General features: G+C 37.3%; 1 long non-coding RNA gene across 1 annotated transcript in view, besides 2 other annotated features; it reads right to left on the reverse strand.

The window, feature by feature from the left end:
* LOC105371308 (uncharacterized) overlaps positions 1 to 21,345 on the reverse strand; it is a 512,336-nt gene continuing 490,991 nt past the window's right edge. The window contains exons 5-6 of the long non-coding RNA XR_001752232.2: positions 13,613 to 13,655; positions 1 to 2,733 (exon numbers count right to left, since the gene is read on the reverse strand). This is a non-coding gene — a long non-coding RNA (uncharacterized LOC105371308). The remainder of the gene's footprint in view (positions 2,734 to 13,612; positions 13,656 to 21,345) is intronic.
* Positions 14,095 to 14,596: an enhancer, noted in NCBI's record as "H3K4me1 hESC enhancer chr16:63153709-63154210 (GRCh37/hg19 assembly coordinates)". NCBI's record gives its function as "activates a minimal SCP1, AML or CMV promoter by ChIP-STARR-seq in primed H9 embryonic stem cells {active_cell/tissue: H9 hESC(primed)}" and the evidence as "EXISTENCE:reporter gene assay evidence [ECO:0000049][PMID:30033119]".
* Positions 14,597 to 15,096: an enhancer, noted in NCBI's record as "H3K4me1 hESC enhancer chr16:63154211-63154710 (GRCh37/hg19 assembly coordinates)". NCBI's record gives its function as "activates a minimal SCP1, AML or CMV promoter by ChIP-STARR-seq in naive H9 embryonic stem cells {active_cell/tissue: H9 hESC(naive)}" and the evidence as "EXISTENCE:reporter gene assay evidence [ECO:0000049][PMID:30033119]".

Below are 21,345 nucleotides of genomic sequence, written 5' to 3' on the forward strand. Positions count from 1 at the left end.
ATGGCTAAATAACATTCCATTGTATGTAGGTACCACATTTTCTTATTCATTCATCTGTTGATGTACACTGGGGTTAATTCCACATATTGGCTATTGTAAATAGTGCTGCTGTAAACATGGGAGTGAAGACACCTCTCTGATATGCTGATTTATGTGCTTTTGGATATATACAGAGCAGTGGAATTTAATTTTTAGTTTTTTGAGGAACCTTCATATTGTTCTCCATAGTAGCTGTACTAATTTACATTTCCACCAGCAGTGTAGTAGGATTCTTCTTTCTACATATTGTCCTCGTCCACTTATGATCAGAATCATACTTTAATTTTGCCACATGACAGAGTAAGATAGGCTTAATTGCCACAGGTTTTGTATCAGATGATGTTACAGGAATCTTCTTGAATTTGTATTACTTATAGTAAACAGAGTTAACAATTTTCATAGGCCAACTACCTCAAAATTTTCAGTGTTGAAGAGAACAAAACTAGCTTACAATCAGGTTTCTGAAAAATGGATGTGACCTGTTTTCATCTTCCTTCCCCGATTCCTCGTCCAAACACTCTATGTTCAGAACAAGCAGTTTCATTTGTCATTAGTCATGTGTACTGTTGGTTTGTCTTTTTCTATGCTTCTCCTCAAATATTTTCTATACTTAAAAAAGCTCAGTCCATTCCTATCTAAACAGACAGTTTTCAGTTATATGCCTCAGTAGTTGTGTGTGTATATAGATATATATACACACATCATATATATGTATATGATACATGTATATATGACATATATGTAATATAGTTTACATATGAGATATGTAAATATATGTGTGTGTGTGTATATATATATATATATATAAAATCAGTGAAGCAATGGAAAGAAGGAAGAATTAGAGATAATGACAAGAGTATATAGGTTGAGGGCATTTGTGTGTTTGTGTGTAAACTTCAAACAACACAATTTATTTCTTTGTACAATCCAGCACTTTTTCTGCTTCATGTTGTGGCAGAAGGGGTACTGGGTAAACAGAAGGTACAAAAGGGTCTCAATCATATGGCTGGCAGCTGGAATTGATCACCACATCCTTAGTTCTCTTTCATGGGTGCCTCACCACATGGCTACTTGGGCTTCCTCATGGGATGGCAGTCTCACGCTAGGCAAACTTCTTACTTGGGAGGTGTCTTTCTCCAGAATGCAGAAGTAGACACTACCAAGCTATCTTAAAATTTAGTTCAAAAGTTCCACCGTATTCTATTAGTTGAAACAGGCCATAGTTAAAGTAAGCCAAAGTCAAGATAGCTTATGGTTAAATTGCCCGGGTTTTAAGGGGACTTCAGATGAACATGCAGTATACTGGGGGCCATCAATGTAAAAATCTATTACTTCAAATAACTCCTCCAAACCAGTAGGCAAGTAGTACTTCTGGGATTATAACCCAGGTCTATCCATTTTCTTTCAAGAAGGACTTGATATCTTCAGGCATGAAGCATGACCTCCCCATCACCAAATAACTTGACTAAAAACAACTATTACCCAGCAGACGCCAGATAGTTGTACTCTTTACCCTAAGAGTTGAAGAACACAGGCACAGTCATCTTTGCAGAGAGCACCTCTTTGACCTTCATGGTTGCATCAGAGAATGAAGAGCCCCCTAAATAAGTAAGAAAATAACCAGTGACATAGAATACACTTTTGATGGCAACTGGGAAAAAATTATTAAAAACAGTTATCATCATCTGGGAGGACATTTTAAACAGGGTGATCAGGGATAGCTCTCTGATCACATTTGAACAGATACTGGGAGGAATTTGCAGCCGCTATGCAAAGTAATGCTCCCCTTGCGAAGAAATAGTACAAGCATCACCCTTCAGAAACCTGTCTGACAGAGGCTCCTAGAACAGAGTCAATGACAATTACCTTGCTGTCTCTGCCATCTCCTTGTTTTGCACCATTCACTGCATGCCTGCACCACAATACCATTTAATACCATTATTTTGATGGAGATCTATATATTGAGAAAAGGCAAAACTAAAATTGCCTTTAATGTTGTGCTCTCTGGAACAGACAAGACATTTGGAATTTGTAGCTGCAGACAGATGTGTGTGGATGTTCTGTCCTGTGTGTTACTCTTTAAAGTAAATAAAGAGGGCCATATCCCAAGACTTGAAAGTGTTCTTCCTCTTTCAGTATTTTGCTCAAATCTCATTTTAGTTCCTCTTTTTCTATATCTTGAAAATAAAACATTTAATTATGTCCTCTATCTTGAAAATAACAAATTTAACAAATTCTATATCTTGAAAATAACAAATTTAATTATTTTTCTCCAGTGTAGTAGTTCTCATTTTATGCAGCAGTTCCTGCATCCTTGCCTCCATCTTGATTTCCTTAAATCGGGGAAGAGAATAGGAATGACATCGGATTCAATGTCTCAGTGTGGTCTGCTTTTTATTAGTGCCATCTCTGTGAAAGACGAGAAGGTCCACAGCCTCACTATTTAGGGAAATCTGCTGGCAGTTTCTCACCTTGCTGGTTATCTTTGCAAAACTGTAAGCGTTTGGTTCTGTTTTTTCCCTTGTAACCATTTAATTATTCCCCAAGTAGCAAAGCTTTCATGCATCCAGAGGGCCAGAGACTTAGTCCGAGGAAGTACCAGGTGTTAGCCCAGTTTTCCCAGTGAAAGGCTTGGAGATTCATTATCAACTCAGCCTCTGGGAGCTCTGTCCACTTCTCGACCCCTTGAAGATCCTGTTCAAATCCAATGGACAAAATTGCTTTTAGCTAAGTCTCTCAGTGTCTCAGGAGTAAAGAACTTTAAAAAAATAAATGTAGAGTTGTTTTGTTTTGTTTTCAATTGATAGGCTGGAACTGTTTGTTTGAGATCATAGGCACACACTATCCTTGGTGGTTTCTTTATCAATGTTGTTAGCAAATCTTTTATGACAAAATAGAGTTTCAAGGAAAAATAAAAAGAAAAAAACAAGAGAAAGAAGGAAAAAAAAATTGAACGCCCCCTCCAAAAAAAAAAATAGAGTTTCACACAATTAAAATAAGAATATTTCTCTTTTTACAAGGATACTTTTCCAAAAAATTATAGCAATAATTGTCTAATTTTACTAACCTAATTTTACTTATCAGTTCACTCAGTTTAGTATGCCAGTTACTGTGCAAAGTACTAAAAAGCTTGATCTACTTATGAGAATGTTTAAAGTTAGGGGCTGCTATTTGTATTTTATAAATGACGTTCAGAGAGGTGAAATCATTTTTCACAGTTGCAGAGCTAACAAGTAGCAGAACAAGTGCTCTGTGAAATTAAATTCAAGGTGTGACTTTTTGGTTCACACATGGTTATCAATCCAAAGCCAGCTTTAATGTGGAATGTGCTGTCTTGAAGATTCTATCTTAGTGTGGCTGCATAGAAGAGAAAACCAATGTCTTTTACTGTCACACTGCATTTGTATACTGCTTCAACACATTAGGATTGTCATTTTAAGAATTCTTTCAGAAGTCCTCAGCATTATAAATGCAGTCTACATGAGAGTGTATGTGAAACAGCTATATTTAAAAAAAAAAGTCCTGTCCAGATGGATCTTTAACAGTGTTGTGCAGAAAGTACCCATCGTTTCAAGTTTATGCATAATGAGGGATCCTTTTTCCACTGGGACTTTAGGTGGCTACTCCTTTATAAGAACACAAGAGAAATCTTCCCCCACTCCAAGTGGGAGAATGATGATATTGCAGATCAGAGATGGCCCTGGTTAGAAAGCACAGAGCTAGCACCTTAAAATTAGAAAAACATTTTTTTTCCTAGAAGGTAGCATATTGCTCAGTATTTTAAAAAAGGTAAACCTCTCAGATATAAGATTAACACTTCTAATATTTCTAATACAATGGTTGCATTTGACATGAGTCTTTAGCAGGCTCCTAAGCCAATCATAAATGTTTCCTGCATATGGTAAAAATAACCCTGAAACTAACAAGGACCTTTCCAATTCAGAAAGCCATACTTTACAAAGGGTATTAGTGATAGATTGAATGCTAATAAAATTTTCATTACACAAGAAAAAGTGTTTTCACTTAATTATATATGGCAATTTTCACCAATCATTTTGTGTTAAAGAATTGGAAGTTTATATCAGAACCACAATGAACACTATTTTTATATTTGTCTAAACAGTTCTTTAGTTTATTATAGAATAAAATCTTTATAAATTTCATTTTTATAACATATTGCTGTCAGTCTCAACCAATCAATTTTTATCCTTCTAAGATCCTCTCTAGGAACTGTTATAAATATATAGCTGGCAGGGCAGGCTCACCCATTCTAAATAATCAAGACTCTCATACTCAGATTGGGCAATGCATTTGCAACATTATTTTTCCTTAATAATCTGTATTTTGATACCTACTGTTCCTATTTAGCTATAATATACATTTAAAAAAACCCACTGCCCCTTGTTTCAGCCTACAATCACAATGTATACTTGGAATATAATAATGTTTACAATGTATACTTGGAACAGAATGATTATATGATGCCTCATTTTGTCATCATCCCTGTAGGTGAAACCCTTCATCTTGATTGCCAACAACATTAATAAACTCCCCAGAAGTCTAGATATGGGCAATGAGGATGAGTGTGTGAGAACCAGAAAAACTTATATTACTCACTTTGAATCCAGAGATTTATCTCTGCAAAGCTTTCATCACAATCTATTATATTCCTTCATTTGAAAATGCTCAAACTTGAAATTCTTTTTCTGTGTATTCTTTATACTTGCCACAATGTGACACTTTAAAAATTCTGAGTTTTCATTAATATTTTCTCCTACATTCTACTCTGCATAAGCACATTTTCTGGACACTGGTAGAGCATCTAGCAAAATGTTAAAATGTCTCAGTAAGTTTTACTAAGCACCATTTTGTAATGTAAGAAATTATTTCTTCATTTATATACTTTTTCTATTGTTGTCTGTTTAGTAGGAAGCTTCCAGGGTAAGCAGTTTAACATGCTGGCTGTTAAATACATTTACCCATCATGCAAAGAAGGATAACAGGTATTATTGTATATTATTCTGAAGAGTTTTCTGTCTCTTCTCCTAACCATAAATATGCCCAGAATCTCATAATAGTCTCATGTCACCCTTTGAGTTGCCCTTTATATTCTTTTAGAGCTATTGCTTGACCCAATATTTCATAGAGCCTCCTTTAGTACTACTGAGAAAGTATCTTCTTCACTTTTCTCTTACATTTTATACAGTGCCACATATTTTAATCATATAACCTCTTCTTAACCTTTTATTTGTTACTTAGAATGATTATAAGATGGAGCTCGTTAAATAACAAGATTCTGGTTAAGTAAGAAGATGCTGTTCTGGAATTGTTAAATGGATAGGTAAGCTTTTTATGATAATATTCCCCACATGAAAAGTCATGGTGCTACTTATTTCTGCAATTGAGAAAGTTTGTTAGTAGAAAACTACGATTTTGTTCTAATTAAACAAACAAGTGACACCTTAATACACAAACAAAAGTCTGTGTTATTCTCCATCCTCTCATACCATTTCCTATTTTTTTTAAACAAACCTGTTGTCAGGTTTAAATTGGCTTTCTTGGTTGAAACCAGCAGTCTTAATTTGCAATTGAAATTCATCCAATTAAACAATAGATTGCCTGGAATTAATGGTAATTGAACAATCTAAATTAAATGGGAGAAATTGTGGACAAGTGAAGAGGAAAATAAACATGGCACAATTTAAGCTTGGAAAGTCACATACATTAACGAGACCATGGAACCATGTTTCATGAGATGTCGTTTGCCTTCAGACACATCTATAAAAGCCTTTGTGGGACACTACACTGACCTAAAAAGCGAATATCTTGGCAGACGTTGAGACAACTAGAATTGAAGTAGCCACAAAAAGCCTATATTTGCAATGGATTTACTTTCTTTTGGTTAATAGGACATGGCAAAATATCCCTGTGATACCATCAACCACACAAATGTGACAAGAAAGGAATCTTCCATTGCATGTATTGTAATATTGACCCATCAAAGGGTATAAGTCTCCTTTCTCAGGCATGAAGCAACAGCTATGACTCTGGAAAATAAGTATGATGGTGAAGCTTAAATTGATTTGTTGCCCAAGAAAAAGAATTATAAGAAATGCAATCTGGTTCTTGCGTAGGCAGTGCTAGGTCTTTGGAGAGCTAACTCAAAATAGTTGACTTTTCAAAAAGGGGTTTCTGACTGGCTTACATGGCCTGGTTATCCATTCACAGCAAGAAATCCTATCCCTAAATAGACTGTTATGATCACCTGCAGAGAACGATGGATTCCCCTAGCAAAACTTGGTTTGGAGACACTAATGATGGCACAAACATACCAAGAAGGTATGAAAAGACATCAAGAATATATAAAAAATACACCAAGAAGGTATGAAATTCTCCTTATTATATTGAAATTATGCAATTTCAGATACATAATTGAGGTCTCTGGAAAGAGTAAGGCAGGCCCCTCAAGACAGTTAGTTAGAAATGGCTTGAGAGCCCAGTGCAGTGGTTCATACCTATAATCCTAGCAGCTCAGCAGGCTGTGATGGGAGGTTTGAGACCAGGAGTTTGAGATGAGCCTGGGCAAAATAGTGGGACTGCATCTCTAAATAAACAATCAAGCAAACCGAAAAATACCTGGGTATGGTGGTACATGCCTATAGTCCTAGGTATTTAGGAGACTGAGGCAAGAGTATCACTCGAGGCCAGGAGTCAGAGGTTGCAGTGAACCATGATAATGCCACTGCACTCCAGCCTGGATGATGAATTAGGACCCTGACTCAAAAGAAAGAAAGAAAGAAGGAAATCAAAGAAAAAAAGAAATGATTCAAAAAGGGAGAGAAATAAATGGCTTGAGAGAGCTAGGAAAAAAGAATGGCATGAGTTTTCCTTGTGGTTAGGAGATGAGGCTAGGGTGAGGATTCTCTGGTGTGGACAGAGACTTTCCTGGTTTGAATCTCCTGCTGGTACCCACGGATCACCCAGGTTTTCTTACCAGCTTGTCTAGATATAGGACACAAGAAAAAGAGGGAAGGACAAGGCTTAAAAGTTCTCATCAGTCAAATACTTTTTTTAAAAATTGGAATCATAGTCATCATTGCAGAGTCTGAGTACTGGGACTGAGCAATGTCAACATAAGAATGCCTCTTAATATGCTCTTCATCCTGCAAACAGAGCTGACCTACTGACACGCTTACCTATCCCATTACTGCAAAATGGAAGCAGAGATTGGCGTGCTACAGCCACAAGCAAAGGAATTCTAGCAGCCACCACAATGTGGAACAGGCAGAGAAGTTATCCCCTAGAGCCTCTGGTTATATACGGTCCTAACAACACCTTGATTTCAGTCCACTGAAACTAATGAACTTCTGGCCTGCAGAACTATGAGAGAGCAAACTTCAGTTGTTTCAGCCACCAAATTTGTGATCATTTGCTCTGACAGCCACACAAATGAATACATATGGAATATAGGTGGATAAAATAGAATGTAAACATGAGAAGACTATACCAATAAAAAAGGTTATTAAATCTGAATTGTAGGATGTGTGTGGATGTATAAGGCATGACAAGATAAAGCATGTGAAACAATGATGACAATTACAGCTATAGAAATGAATATAGAGTGGTAACAAATTTAAGCCACAAATTAGATGACTCAAAACAACAGTAATTTTCTTCACTCAGAGTCCTTGTGGCTAGAAATTTAAAATGAAGGTGTCATGAAGATTGTGCTCCCTTGTAAGCTCCAAAGAAGAACCTTTCCCTGCCTCTTCCAAGCTTCAAGTATTCCCTGGGGATTGTTGGCATTCTCTGGCTTGTAGCTGCATCAGACACTATGAATTTTGCCTTCATCCTCACATAGCTGTTTTCCCTCTGTATGTGCCTGTGTCATTGTTTCCCACATTTTTAAAAAATTTTTTTTATTTTTTGAGACGGAGGAGTCTCACTCTGTCACCAGGCTGGAGTGCAGTGGCATGATCTTGGCTCACTGCAACCTCTACCTCCCATGTTCAAATGATTCTCCTGCCTCAGCCTCCCAGGTAGCTGGGACTACAGGTGCGTGCCACCACGCCCAGCTAATTTTTGTATTTTTAGTAGAGACAGGGTTTCAGCATGTTGGCCAAGATAGTCTCTCTCTCTTGACCTCGTGATCCACCCACCTCAGCCTCCCAAAGTGCTGGGATTACGGATGTGAGCCACTGTGCCCGGCCCACAATTTTGGCTTCTTATAACATCAGTCATTGAATGTAAGGCCTGCCCTAATGCACTATGACCTCATTTTAACTTGATTATATCTTCAAATACTCTAATTACAAATAAGATCACATTCACTGGTACCAAAGGTTAGGACTTTAACATATTTTGCTGGGGAGGAACACCATTTTCCTAACAGCAGAAAGTAATAACAATCTTAGGAAATTTAGACTTTAAACTAAGAGTAATGAAAAACATTTCCAAAGATTTTACTCAGGAAGAGACATTATTATATAATCGATCATTTTACATATCCTGGATGTTATGGACGAATGGCTTGAACTGAAAAATAATTAAGACCTAGACACTATTTATCAGGCTGTTGAAATAATCCAGGAATATAATGTTGAAGCTCTAAACTAGTAAAATATACATTACGTTCTAAATAATTGGATTCAAAAAAGATTTAGGAACTAGACTGTATATAATTGGAATTTAATTGGATATATAATGAAAAGAATTACAAAACATTTGCAAGGAATATGGGAGGACAGATATATCTTTGAGAACTTAATTTCAATTCTTTCATATATATATATACCCAGAAGTAAGATTGGTGAATCAATCACACAGTAGTGCTATTTTTTTAATTTTTTGAGGAATCTCTATACTGTTTCCCATTCTACATTTCCACCAATAGCGTACAAGGGTTCCAACTAGCCCGCATCCTCACCAACACTGATCTTTTGTTTTTTGATAATAGTAATCATAGCAGGTGTGAAGTGATATCTCATTTTGGCTATGATTTACATTTCTCTGATGATTAGTTGTGTTCAGCATCTTTTTATATACTTGGTGGTCATTTATATGCTTTATTTGGAAAAATTTCTGTTCAAGCCTTTTGCCCATATTTTAATAGGGTTATCTGTTTTTTGCCATTGAATTGTAGAAGTTCCTTATGTATTTTGGAAATTAATCATTTATCACATACATAGTTTGTAAATATTTTCTCCCATTGTTTAGGCTGCATTTACAGTCCATTGATTTTTTTCTTTGCTGTACAGAAGCTTTTTAGTTTGATGTAGTCCTGCTTATCTATTGTTGCATTTGTTGACTGTGTTTTTGTTGTCATATCCCAAGGATCATAGCCGTGATCAATGCCATTAAGCTTTTCCCTATGTTTTCTTCTAGTAGTTTAACAGTTGCTGATACTATGTTTAAGATTTTAACACATTTTGAGTTGGCTTTTGTATATGGTATAAGGTAGTTCATTTTTATTATTTTGCATGTAGATAACCAGTTTTCTCAGTTCCATTTTTTGAGGAGACAATTATTTCTCCATTGTGTTTTCTTAGCTAATCATTGAGGTTCTATTCACAATAGCCAAGATGGGGAAATGATCCAAGGGTCCTTTGACAGATTAATGAATCAAGAAAATGTGCTATATACATATAATAGAATATTATTAACTCTAAAACAGAAGGAAATCTGCAACATAATGGCCTGTCACATCTCTGTCACTCTACAATAATTAGTGATATTAATACTATTATTTAGAAAAAATTGATTTCCTATGACATAGGTTATGACATGTATTTTGTCTCAGGTGCCTCATTCACAGGGTAGGTTAAGGGACAATATCTAAAGTTCTTTTCTGCTGCTTCCAGTGTATAAAGACATTAGTTAAGACATAAACAAGAAACAGATAATCATGAACTCAAGTTAGAAAATCATGAGAGTTTAGTGAAGGAATTATTTTCAAAGCGTGCACAGGTTTGAGGGAAATCAATGAGGGAATGTGAGGTTTCCCAGGGTTAGTAACAGGGGAGAAGATGTTTCTGTAACTTGAGGGTAAAAGAGGTCATGGAAAGAGTAGTTAGTAGAAATTGGGGAGAGAACTACATGGAAAAGGATTCCTGAAAAAAAAAAAAAAAAACAACAACTATGACCTTAATGAAATGAAACAGCCAACCACTGTTAACACTGCAGGGAGGAACCAGGTAAATAAATACTCTGATCTCACTTCTCCACCTGCTCTCTAGTATCTTACTTGAGCATCCCATTGGTCTTACTGTAACCTAACCCAAAGGGCAGTGGAGTACACTGATGCCTTCCATGAAGTTTATACTTCAAGTCACAAAGCAAGGCCCTGAGCAAATGGAAGATATGTAGCACAGATTTTGCTGGAACATCATTCTCATGAAACTTTAGTATCATAAAAGAGTTTAGAAAGGAAAAAAAAAGGAAAAAAGTCATGGAAAAGCTAATTACTTCTCATAGGTTGATTTTTTTTTTTTTTTTTTTGACAAACTACAAGGTTTATCTACCTAGGTACAGATGGAATATGTTTAATTGGCAACTAATGATTTTCATGACTAAAGTAATTTCTGACTCCACAATCCTTGTTACCCTTTAATATGGAATCCTACTAATCAGAAAAAGCAGTGTTTAATCTGTTTCTGATACAATTGAAGGTGTGAATAATTTGTTGGAGTCATTTACACAAGGTTTGGTTGATGGATTCTATCTTTAGTTTTATCTGATAATGAATACTGACATTTATTTCTGATATGAAAATGTCACAGTTCTCTTGAATTGAGTGGTAGAAAATCAATACATATTCAATTTGTTTTTCTATTTTAAAAGTTTTAATGGAAATTCTCATTGGCTTTTTACCAGTATTCGTTTAACACTAGAAACATATTATCACTTTAATTAGAATATATCTTTTTGTAAGACATACCCTAGAGTGAACACCACCTAATGAGTGAGCTCTAGTTGTCCTAATAACATTTTTATTTTGTCAGGAATCTGAAAATACCCTAAACCCAATTTGGATTAACTTCTTCATTTCATCTGAAGTCTAGATCTGTTTTGGTTGGGGTTTTCTGTGAGAATATTGACAATAGGGTTCTGTGTGAAACACAAAGTGATTGAAGAAAGAAGCTCTAGGTGAATTTTTCTGGGTAGATGGAAACCTGAAGCACTGGATCCATGTGACAAGAAGGGGATATGACTCTGAAGACTGTCACTCAGTACAAGTTAGCAATGTTCCCCTAGAACTATGAAATGCTCTAACATGGGATATGTTTGAATTCGGTTTGGGCAGGTCCTTTCTCCATCACTTTCATAGGCAAAGCAGAGCTCTCTGAGTTGTTTCCCTGCTCAGTTTCCAAAATACCCCTTCAGACCTAATGACTGCATAGGGTGTACCTTTCCAAATTGTCCTCACTTATGAATTAGCTCAAAATTAAACCTGATTAATTTTTGAATCTAATTTCCCCATGTTAATTCTATAAATATTCACATACTGCATCTGTTTACTTTTATTTTATAGAGGCAGGGTTTCACTCTGTTGCCCAAGCTGGAATGCAGTGGCACAATCATAGCTCACTGCAGCTTTGACCTCTTGGCTTCAAGCTATTCTTCCACCTCAGCCTCCTGAGTAGCTGCGGCTACAAGCACATGTCATGACACCCAGCTAATTATTATTTTATTTTTTATAGAGACAGAGTCTTGCTATGTTGCCCAGGCCAGTCTTAAACTCGTGACATAAAGTGATCCTCTTGCCTTGGCTTCCCAAAATGCTGGGATTACAGGCATGAGCCACTGCATCTGGCCTGTTTATTTTTCTAATGAGACTATAGTTTTACACTCTCATCATAAAATGATTTAAAGAAGAAATAAGCTAGATAAATTTCCTTTGAAAAACATGGGCAAAAAAAAATTTAGACACTATCTATATACATCTTTACATTGACATTAAACTATAATTTTGTGGTAAATTTCATGATTTTGAGAAGGCTATGTAGACAGAAAGAGTCATGGTGGAGTGAAGAGTTAAGGAAATAGAAATGATAGGTTGGAGAGACTAAGGCATCTAGAGGTTTCAAGGAAGATAATTTGAAAGAATTCTGCATTGAGTGAAAACTCCAGAGACCTATGGAAGTTTCCCTTTGAGTACTCTATAGAATACTGATTAGTGTATGAGTGTAAGAAAACATCCCAAGGTTGGATGAATATCTACCTTCAAGGATTACAGAGGTTGTTACATAAAGATCAAGCAGATTTGTTAATAGAGTCTGTTTTCACCAGCCAGATTGGGACACAGGGAATTAGGTAGAGGACTCAGAAGATTCTTGCTTTTATAGTGTGGAAAAATCTCTAAATGTGTTTCTGCCAAATCTTAAAGCAACATCTGAAAGGACAAAACTTAACTGTGTGTGAAAACAAAGCTCAAGATTATTTGTAGAATTGCAAAGTATCCAGTACACAAGAAGGTAAAATTTACAGTATCGCATATCAGCAAAAAATTACAAGGCATGGCAGATCACCAGGCCAGTAAATTGAGTCCATCCTGACTAACACAGTGAAATCCTGCCTCTACTAAAAACAAAAAATTAGCCAGGTGTGGTGGCATGCGCCTGTAGTCCCAGCTACTTGGGAGGCTGAGGTAGGTGAATTGCTTCAATCTGGGAGGCAGAGATTGCAGTGAGCCGAGATTACATCACTGCACTCCAGCCTGGAAAACACAGCGAGACTCCGTCTCAAAAAATAAAATAAACAAAAAGGCATGAAAGTAAGTAGAAAGATGCAACCCGTGAGGAGAAAAATTAATCAATGAAAACCAATCTAGACATGACAGACAAGCTAAAATTAGCCAAAAAGAACAATAGTACAGTTATTGTAACCATATCCTATGTTCAAAGGCTAAAGAAAAGATTAAAAATGAGGAGTAAAAACATGGAAAATATAAAAGTGATCCAAAATGAACCTCTAGATATGAGAACAACATTGTATGAGATTTCTTTAAAAAATGCAATGGTTGGGAACTGGAGCATATTAGGTCTATCAGAAGAAAAGATTAACGAACTTGAAGACACAGCACAACAAATTACCCAAACAGAAGAAATAAGACTCAAATAAATGTACAGAACATGAGTGATAAGTATTTTAAGTGGCCCAATATAGGGGTAATTGAAGTCCCTGGAGTAAGAGAGAAGAGCGATAAAAATAAACATTGGCTAAAAATGTTTCCCAGTTGATAAAGTACACAAACCAATAGATACAAGAAACTTAGTAAAGAAACATGAAGAGAAGCACTCTAAGGCATAATGTAATAAATTTCCTCAAGACCAGTGATGATGAGAAATTTTAAATGCATCTGGAGAAAAAAGACATATTACATACAAAAATAAAGATGGTAGCAAATTTCTTTCTAGAAGCAATGCAAATGGAAAGAAAGGTAGAAATATCTTTTAAAAAGAAAGAAAAAGAAACTATCAACCCATAGAAATTCTATACCCACAGAAATTTCTTTCAGAAACAAAGGTTAAATAGAGACTTTTCCAGTTGTATAAAAATTGAAATGATTACTCACCAGTAGACCTTCTGCACTGCTGTAATTTTTTACAGAAAGTTACCTAAGTCGAAAAAAAATTATACAACATAAAAATAAGTATCTTTTCAAAGAAGAACATGGGAAATAAAAGACATAGGTTAATACACAAGCCTTTATTATGTAAATGGCAGTTTAAACCAAAATAGTAACAATATAGTGCTAATAATAAATATATAAAGTAAATGAATTATAAAAAAATAACAGTATATTTCTAGAAATAAAGTTCATGACAAAAATGGCATGAAGGCTAGGAGTAATGAAAATATATAATTGAAAATAAAATATTACTGGGAAAGTGGACTCTGTCAAGTTAAAAATGAATACTATAGGCCAGGCGTGGTGGCTCACGCCTGTAATCTCAGCACTTTAGGAGGCTGAGGCAGGTGGATCACAAAGTCAGGAGTTTGAAACCAGCCTGATCAACATGGTGAAACCCCGTCTCTACTAAAAATACAAAAAATTAGCTGGATGTGGTGGCACATGCTTATAATCCCAGCTATTCGAGAGGCTGAGGCAGGAGAATCACTTGAACCCAGGAGGTGGAGGCTGAGGTCAGCAGATTGTGCCATTGCACTCCAGCCGGGCGATAGAGCAAGATTGTGTCTCAAGAGGAGCCAAGATGGCCGAATAGGAACAGCTCCAAGTCTACAGCTCCCAGCGTGAGCAACGCAGAAGACGGGTGATTTCTGCATTTCCATCTGAGGTACTGGGTTCATCTCACTAGGGAGTGCCAGACAGTGGGCGCAGGTCAGGGGGTGCGCGCACCGCACCGTGCGCGAGCCGAAGCAGGGCGAGGCATTGCCTCACTTGGGAAGCGCAAGGGGTCAGGGAGCTCCCTTTCCTAGTCAAAGAAAGGGGTGACAGACGGCATCTGGAAAATCGGGTCACTCCCACCCCAATACTGCGCTTTTCCGACGGGCTTAAAAAATGGCGCACCAGGAGATTATATCTCGAACCTGGCTCGGAGGGTCCTACGCCCACAGAGTCTCGCAGATTGCTAGCACAGCAGTCTGAGATCAAACTGCAAGGCAGCAGCGAGGCTGGGGGAGGGGTGCCTGCCATTGCCCAGGCTTGCTTAGGTAAACAAAGCAGCCAGGAAGCTCGAACTGGGTGGAGCCCACCACAGCTCAAGGAGGCCTGCCTGCCTCTGTAGGCTCCACCTCTGGGGGCAGGGCACAGACAAACAAAAAGACAGCAGTCACCTCTGCAGACTTAAATGTCCCTGACAGCTTTGAAGAGAGCAGTGGTTCTCCCAGCACACAGCTGGAGATCTGAGAACAGGCAGACTGCCTCCTCAAGTGGGTCCCTGACCCCTGACCCCCGAGCAGCCAAACTGGGAAGCAACCCCCAGCAGGGGCAGACTGACACCTCACATGGCCTGGTACTCCAACAGACCTGCAGCTGAGGGTCCTGTCTGTTAGAAGGAAAACTAACAAACAGAAAGGACATCCACACCAAAAACCCATCTGTACATCACCATCATCAAAGACCAAAAGTAGATAAAACCACAAAGATGGGGAAAAAACAGAGCAGAAAAACTGGAAACTCTAAAAAGCAGAGTGCCTCTCCTCCTCCAAAGGAACGCAGTTCCTCACCAGCAACGGAACAAAGCTAGACGGAGAATGACTTTGACGAGCTGAGGGAAGAAGGCTTCAGACGATCAAATTACCCCGCGCTACGGGAGGACATTCAAACGAAAAGCAAAGAAGTTGAAAACTTTGAAAAAAATTTAGAAGAATGTATAACTAGAATAACCAATACAGAGAAGTGCTTAAAGGAGCTGATGGAGCTGAAAACCAAGGCTTGAGAACTACGTGAAGAATGCAGAAACCTCAGGAGCCGATGTGATTAACTGGAAGAAAGGGTATCAGCGATGGAAGATGAAATGAATGAAATGAAGTGAGAAGGGAAGTTTAGAGAAAAAAGAATAAAAAGAAATGAGCAAAGCCTCCAAGAAATATGGGACTATGTGAAAAGACCAAATCTACATATGATTGGTGTACGTGAAAGTGACGGGGAGAATGGAACCAAGTTGGAACACACTCTGCAGGATATTATCCAGGAGAAACTTCCCCCCATCTAGCAAGGCAGGCCAACGTTCAGATTCAGGAAATACAGAGAACGCCACAAAGATACTCCTCGAGAAGAGCAACTCCAAGACACATAATTGTCAGATTCACCAAAGTTGAAATGAAGGAAAAAATGTTAAGGGCAGCCAGAGAGAAAGGTCGCCTTACCCTCAAAGGGAAGCCCATCAGACTAACAGCAGATCTCTCGGCGGAAACTCTACAATGCAGAAGAGAGTGGGGGCCAATATTCAACATTCTTAAAGAAAAGAATTTTTAACCCAGAATTTCATATCCATCCAAACTAAGCTTCATAAGTGAAGGAGAAATAAAATCCTTTACAGACAAGCAAATGCTGAGAGATTTTGTCACCACCAGGCCTGCCCTAAAAGAGCTCCTGAAGGAAGCACTAAACATGGAAAGGAACAACCAGTACCAGCTGCTGCAAAATCATGCCAAAATGTAAAGACCATTGAGACTAGGAAGAAACTGCATCAACTATCGAGCAAAATAATCAGCTAACATCATAATGACAGGATCAAATTCACACATAACAATATTAACTTTCAATGTAAATGGACTGAATGCTCCAATTAAAAGACACAGACTGGCAAATTGGATAAAGAGTCAAGACCCATCAGTGTGCTGTATTCAGGAAACCCATCTCACATGCAGAGACACACATAGGCTCAAAATAAAAGGATGGAGGAAGATCTACCAAGTAAATGGAAAACAAAAAAAGGCAGGGGTTGCAATCCTAGTCTCTGATAAAACAGACTTTAAACCAACAAAGATCAAAAGAGACAAAGAAGGCCATTACATAATGGTAAAGGGATCAATTCAGCAAGAAGAGCTAACTATCCTAAATATATATGCACCCAATACAGGAGCACCCAGATTCATAAAGCAAGTCCTGAGTGACCTACAAAGAGACTTAGACTCCCACACATTAATAATGGGAGGCTTTAACACCCCACTGTCAACATTAGACAGATCAACGAGACAGAAAGTCAACAAGGATACCCAGGAATTGAACTCAGCTCTGCACCAAGCAGACCTAATAGACACCTACAGAACTCTCCACCCCAAATCAACAGAATATACATTTTTTTCAGCACCACACCACACCTATTCCAAAATTGACCACATACTTGGAAGTAAAGCTCTCCTCAGCAAATGTAAAAGAACAGAAATTATAACAAACTATCTCTCAGACCACAGTGCAATCAAACTAGAACTCAGGATTAAGAAACTCACTCAAAACTGCTCAACTACATGAAAACTGAACAACCTGCTCCTCAATGACTACTGGGTACATCACGACATGAAGGCAGAAATAAAGATGTTCTTTGAAACCAACAAGAACAAAGACTCAACATACCAGAATCTCTGGGACACATTCAAAGCAGTGTGTAGAGGGAAATTTATAGCACTAAATGCCCACAAGAGAAAGCAGGAAAGATCCAAAATTGACAGCCTAACATCACAATTAAAAGAACTAGAAAAGCAAGAGCCAACACATTCAAAAGCTAGCAGAAGGCAAGAAATAACTAAAATCAGAGCAGAACTGAAGGAAATAGAGACATAAAAAACCCTTCAAAAAATTAATGAATCCAGGAGCTGGTTTTTTGAAAGGATCAACAAAATTGATAGACCGCTAGCAAGACTAATAAAAAAAGACAGAAGAATCAAATAGACGCAATAAAAAATGATAAAGGGGATATCACTACCGATCCCACAGAAATACAAACTACCATCAGAGAATACTACAAACACCTCTATGCAAATAAACTAGAAAATCTGGAAGAAATGGATAAATTCCTGGACACATACACTCTCCCAAGACTAAAGCAGGAAGAAGTTGAATCTCTGAATAGACCAATAACAGGATCTGAAATTGTGGCAATAATCAATAGCTTACCAACCAAAAAGAGTCCAGGACCAGATGGATTCACAGCCGAATTCTACCAGAGGTACAAGGAGGAACTGGTACCATTCCTTCTGAAACTATTCCAATCAATAGAAAAAGAGGGAATCCTCCCTAGCTCATTTTATGAGGCCAGCATCATCCTGATACCAAAGCCGGGCAGAGACACAACCAAAAAAGAGAATTTTAGACCAATATCCTTGATGACATTGATGCAAAAATCCTCAATAAAATACTGGCAAACTGAATCCAGCAGCACATCAAAAAGCTTATCCACCATGATCAAGTGGGCTTCATCCCTGGGATGCAAGGCTGGTTCAATATACACAAATCAATAAATGTAATCCAGCATATAAACAGAACCAAAGACAAAAACCATATGATTATCTCAATAGATGCAGAAAAAGCCTTTGACAAAATTCAACAACACTTCATGCTAAAAACTCTCAATACATTAGGTATTGATGGGACGTATCTCAAAATAATTAGAGCTATCTATGACAAACCCACAGCCAATATCATACTGAATGGGCAAAAACTGGAAGCATTCCCTTTGAAAATTGGGCACAAGACAGGGATGCCCTCTCTCACCACTCCTATTCAACATAGTGTTGGAAGTTCTGGCCAGGGCAATTAGGCAGGAGAAGGAAATAAAGGGTATTCAATTAGGAAAAGAGGAAGTCAAATTGTCCCTGTTTGCAGATGACATGATTGTATATCTAGAAAACCCCATTGTCTCAGCTCAAAATCTCCTTAAGCTGATAAGCAACTTCAGCAAAGTCTCAGGATACAAAATCAATGTACAAAAATCACAAGCATTCTTATACACCAATAACAGACAAACAGAGAGCCAAATCATGAGTGAACTCCCATTCACAATTGCTTCAAAGAGAATAAAATACCTAGGAGTCCACCTTACAAGGGATGTGAAGGACCTCTTCAAGGAGAACTACAAACCACTGCTCAATGAAATTAAAGAGGATACAAACAAATGGAAGAACATTCCATGCTCACGGATAGGAAGAATCAATATCGTGAAAATGGCCATACTGCCCAAGGTAATTTATAGATTCAATGCCATCCCCATCAACCTACCAATGACTTTCTTCACAGAATTGGAAAAAACTACTTTAAAGTTCATATGGAACCAAAAAAGAGCCCGCATCACCAAGTCAATCCTAAGCCAAAAGAACAAAGCTGGAGGCATCATGCTACCTGACTTCAAACTATACTACAAGGCTACAGTAACCAAAACAGCATGGTACTGGTACCAAAACAGAGATATAGATCAATGGAACAGAACAGAGCCCTCAGAAATAACGCCACGTATCTACAACTATCTGATCTTTGACAAACCTGAGAAAAACAAGCAATGGGGAAAGCATTCCCTATTTAATAAATGGTGCTGGGAAAACTGGCTAGCCATATGTAGAAAGCTGAAACTGGATCCCTTCCTTACACCTTATACAAAAATCAATTCAAGATGGATTAAAGACTTAAACGTTAGACCTAAAACCATAAAAAGCCTAGAAGAAAACCTAGGCATTACCATTTAGGACATAGGCATGGACAAGGACTTCATGTCTAAAACACCAAAAGCAATGGCAACAAAAGCCAAAATTGACAAATGGGACCTAATTAAACTCAAGGGCTTCTGTACAGCAAAAGAAACTACCATCAGAGTGAACAGGCAACCTACAAAATGGGAGAAAATTTTCACAACCTACTCATCTGACAAAGGGCTAATATCCAGAATCTACAATGAACTCAAACAAATTTACAAGAAAAAAACAAACAACCCCATCAAAAAGTGGGCGAAGGACATGAACAGACACTTCTCAAAAGAAGACATTTATGCAGCCAAAAAACACATGAAAAAATGCTCACCATCACTGGCCATCAGAGAAATGCAAATCAAAACCACAATGAGATACCATCTCACACCAGTTAGAATGGCAATCATTAAAAAGTCAGGAAACAACAGGTGCTGGAGAGATGTGGAGAAATAGGAACACTTTTACACTGCTGGTGGGACTGTAAACTAGTTCAACCATTGTGGAAGTCAGTGTGGCAATTCCTCAGGGATCTAGAACTAGAAATACCGTTTGACCCAGCCATCCCATTACTGGCTATATACCCAAAGGACTATAAATCATGCTGCTATAAAGACACATGCACACATACGTTTATTGCGGCATTATTCACAATAGCAAAGACTTGGAACCAACCCAAATGTCCAACAATGATAAACTGGATTAAGAAAATGTGGCACATATACACCATGGAATACTATGCAGCCATAAAAATGATGAGTTCATGTCCTTTGTAGGGACATGGATGAAATTGCAAATCATCATTCTCAGTAAACTATCGCAAGAACAAAAAACCAAACACCGCATATTTTCACTCATAGGTGGGAATTGAACAATGAGAACACATGGACACAGGAAGGGGAACATCACACTCTGGGGCCTGTTGTGGGGTGGGGGGAGGGGGGAGGGATAGCATTGGGAGATATACCTAATGCTAGATGAGTTAGTGGGTGCAGCGCACCAGCATGGCACATGTATACATATGTAACTAACCTGCACATTGTGCACATTTACCCTAAAACTTAAAGTATAATAATAATAAATAAATAAATTTAAAAAAAGATTCTGTCTCAAACAAAACAAAAAAAAAGAAAATACTATAAACCTAAAACAATCACACAAATAACATAACAAATAGTTATAGCTAGTAAGTCAACAAAATAAATGAAAAATTGTTTCATAAAAATATAAATTAATCTAAAAGAAGGCATAAAAAAGGACATATTGAACAAATGGAAAACAAATAGCAAGTTAATGGCTTTAAACCTGATTGTATTAAACATCACATTAAATTTAAATGGTCTGTACCACCCCAATTAAAACAAAGAGGTAGTCTGACTGGATTAAAATAAGGAAGACCTACCTACATGCTGCCAAAAGGAAACTAAATATAAAAATCGAAATAAATCAAAGTTGCAGTGAGCCGAGATTGCACCACAGCACTCCAGCCTGGGAGACAGAGCGAGACTCCATCTCAAAAAATAAAATAAACAAAACAAAACAAAATAAAAAAAACAAAAAGGCATGAAAGTAAGTAGAAAGATGCAACCCGTGAGGAGAAAAATTAATCAATGAAAACCAATCTAGACATGACAGACAAGCTAAAATTAGCCAACAAGAACAACAGTACAGTTATTGTAACCATATCCTATGTTCAAAGGCTAAAGACTAAAAATGAGGAGTAAAAACATGGAAAAAATAAAAGTGATCCAAAATGGACCTCTAGATATGAGAACAACATTGTATGAGATTTCTTTAAAAAATGTAATGGTTGGGAATTGGAGCATATTAGGTCTATCAGAAGAAAAGATCAATGAACTTGAAGACACAGCACAACAAATTACCCAAACAGAAGAAAAAAGGCTCAAATAAATTTACAGAACATGAGTGATAAGTATTTTAAGTGGTCCAATATACGGTAATTGAAGTCTCTGTAGTAAGAGAGAAGAGCGATAAAAATAAACATTGGCTAAAATATATAGTCCATGATAGCATTAATCAAAAATAGCTCAAGTGATTACATTAATATTAGACAGATTTCAGAGCAAAAAATGCTGCTAAGTGCGTGATAATCCATCCTAAATGTTTATGAGCCTAATAGCACAGCTTTGCAAATATGAAGCATAA

This window comes from Homo sapiens, chromosome 16 (assembly GCF_000001405.40).
Source record: "Homo sapiens chromosome 16, GRCh38.p14 Primary Assembly".
NCBI lineage: Eukaryota > Metazoa > Chordata > Mammalia > Primates > Hominidae > Homo > Homo sapiens.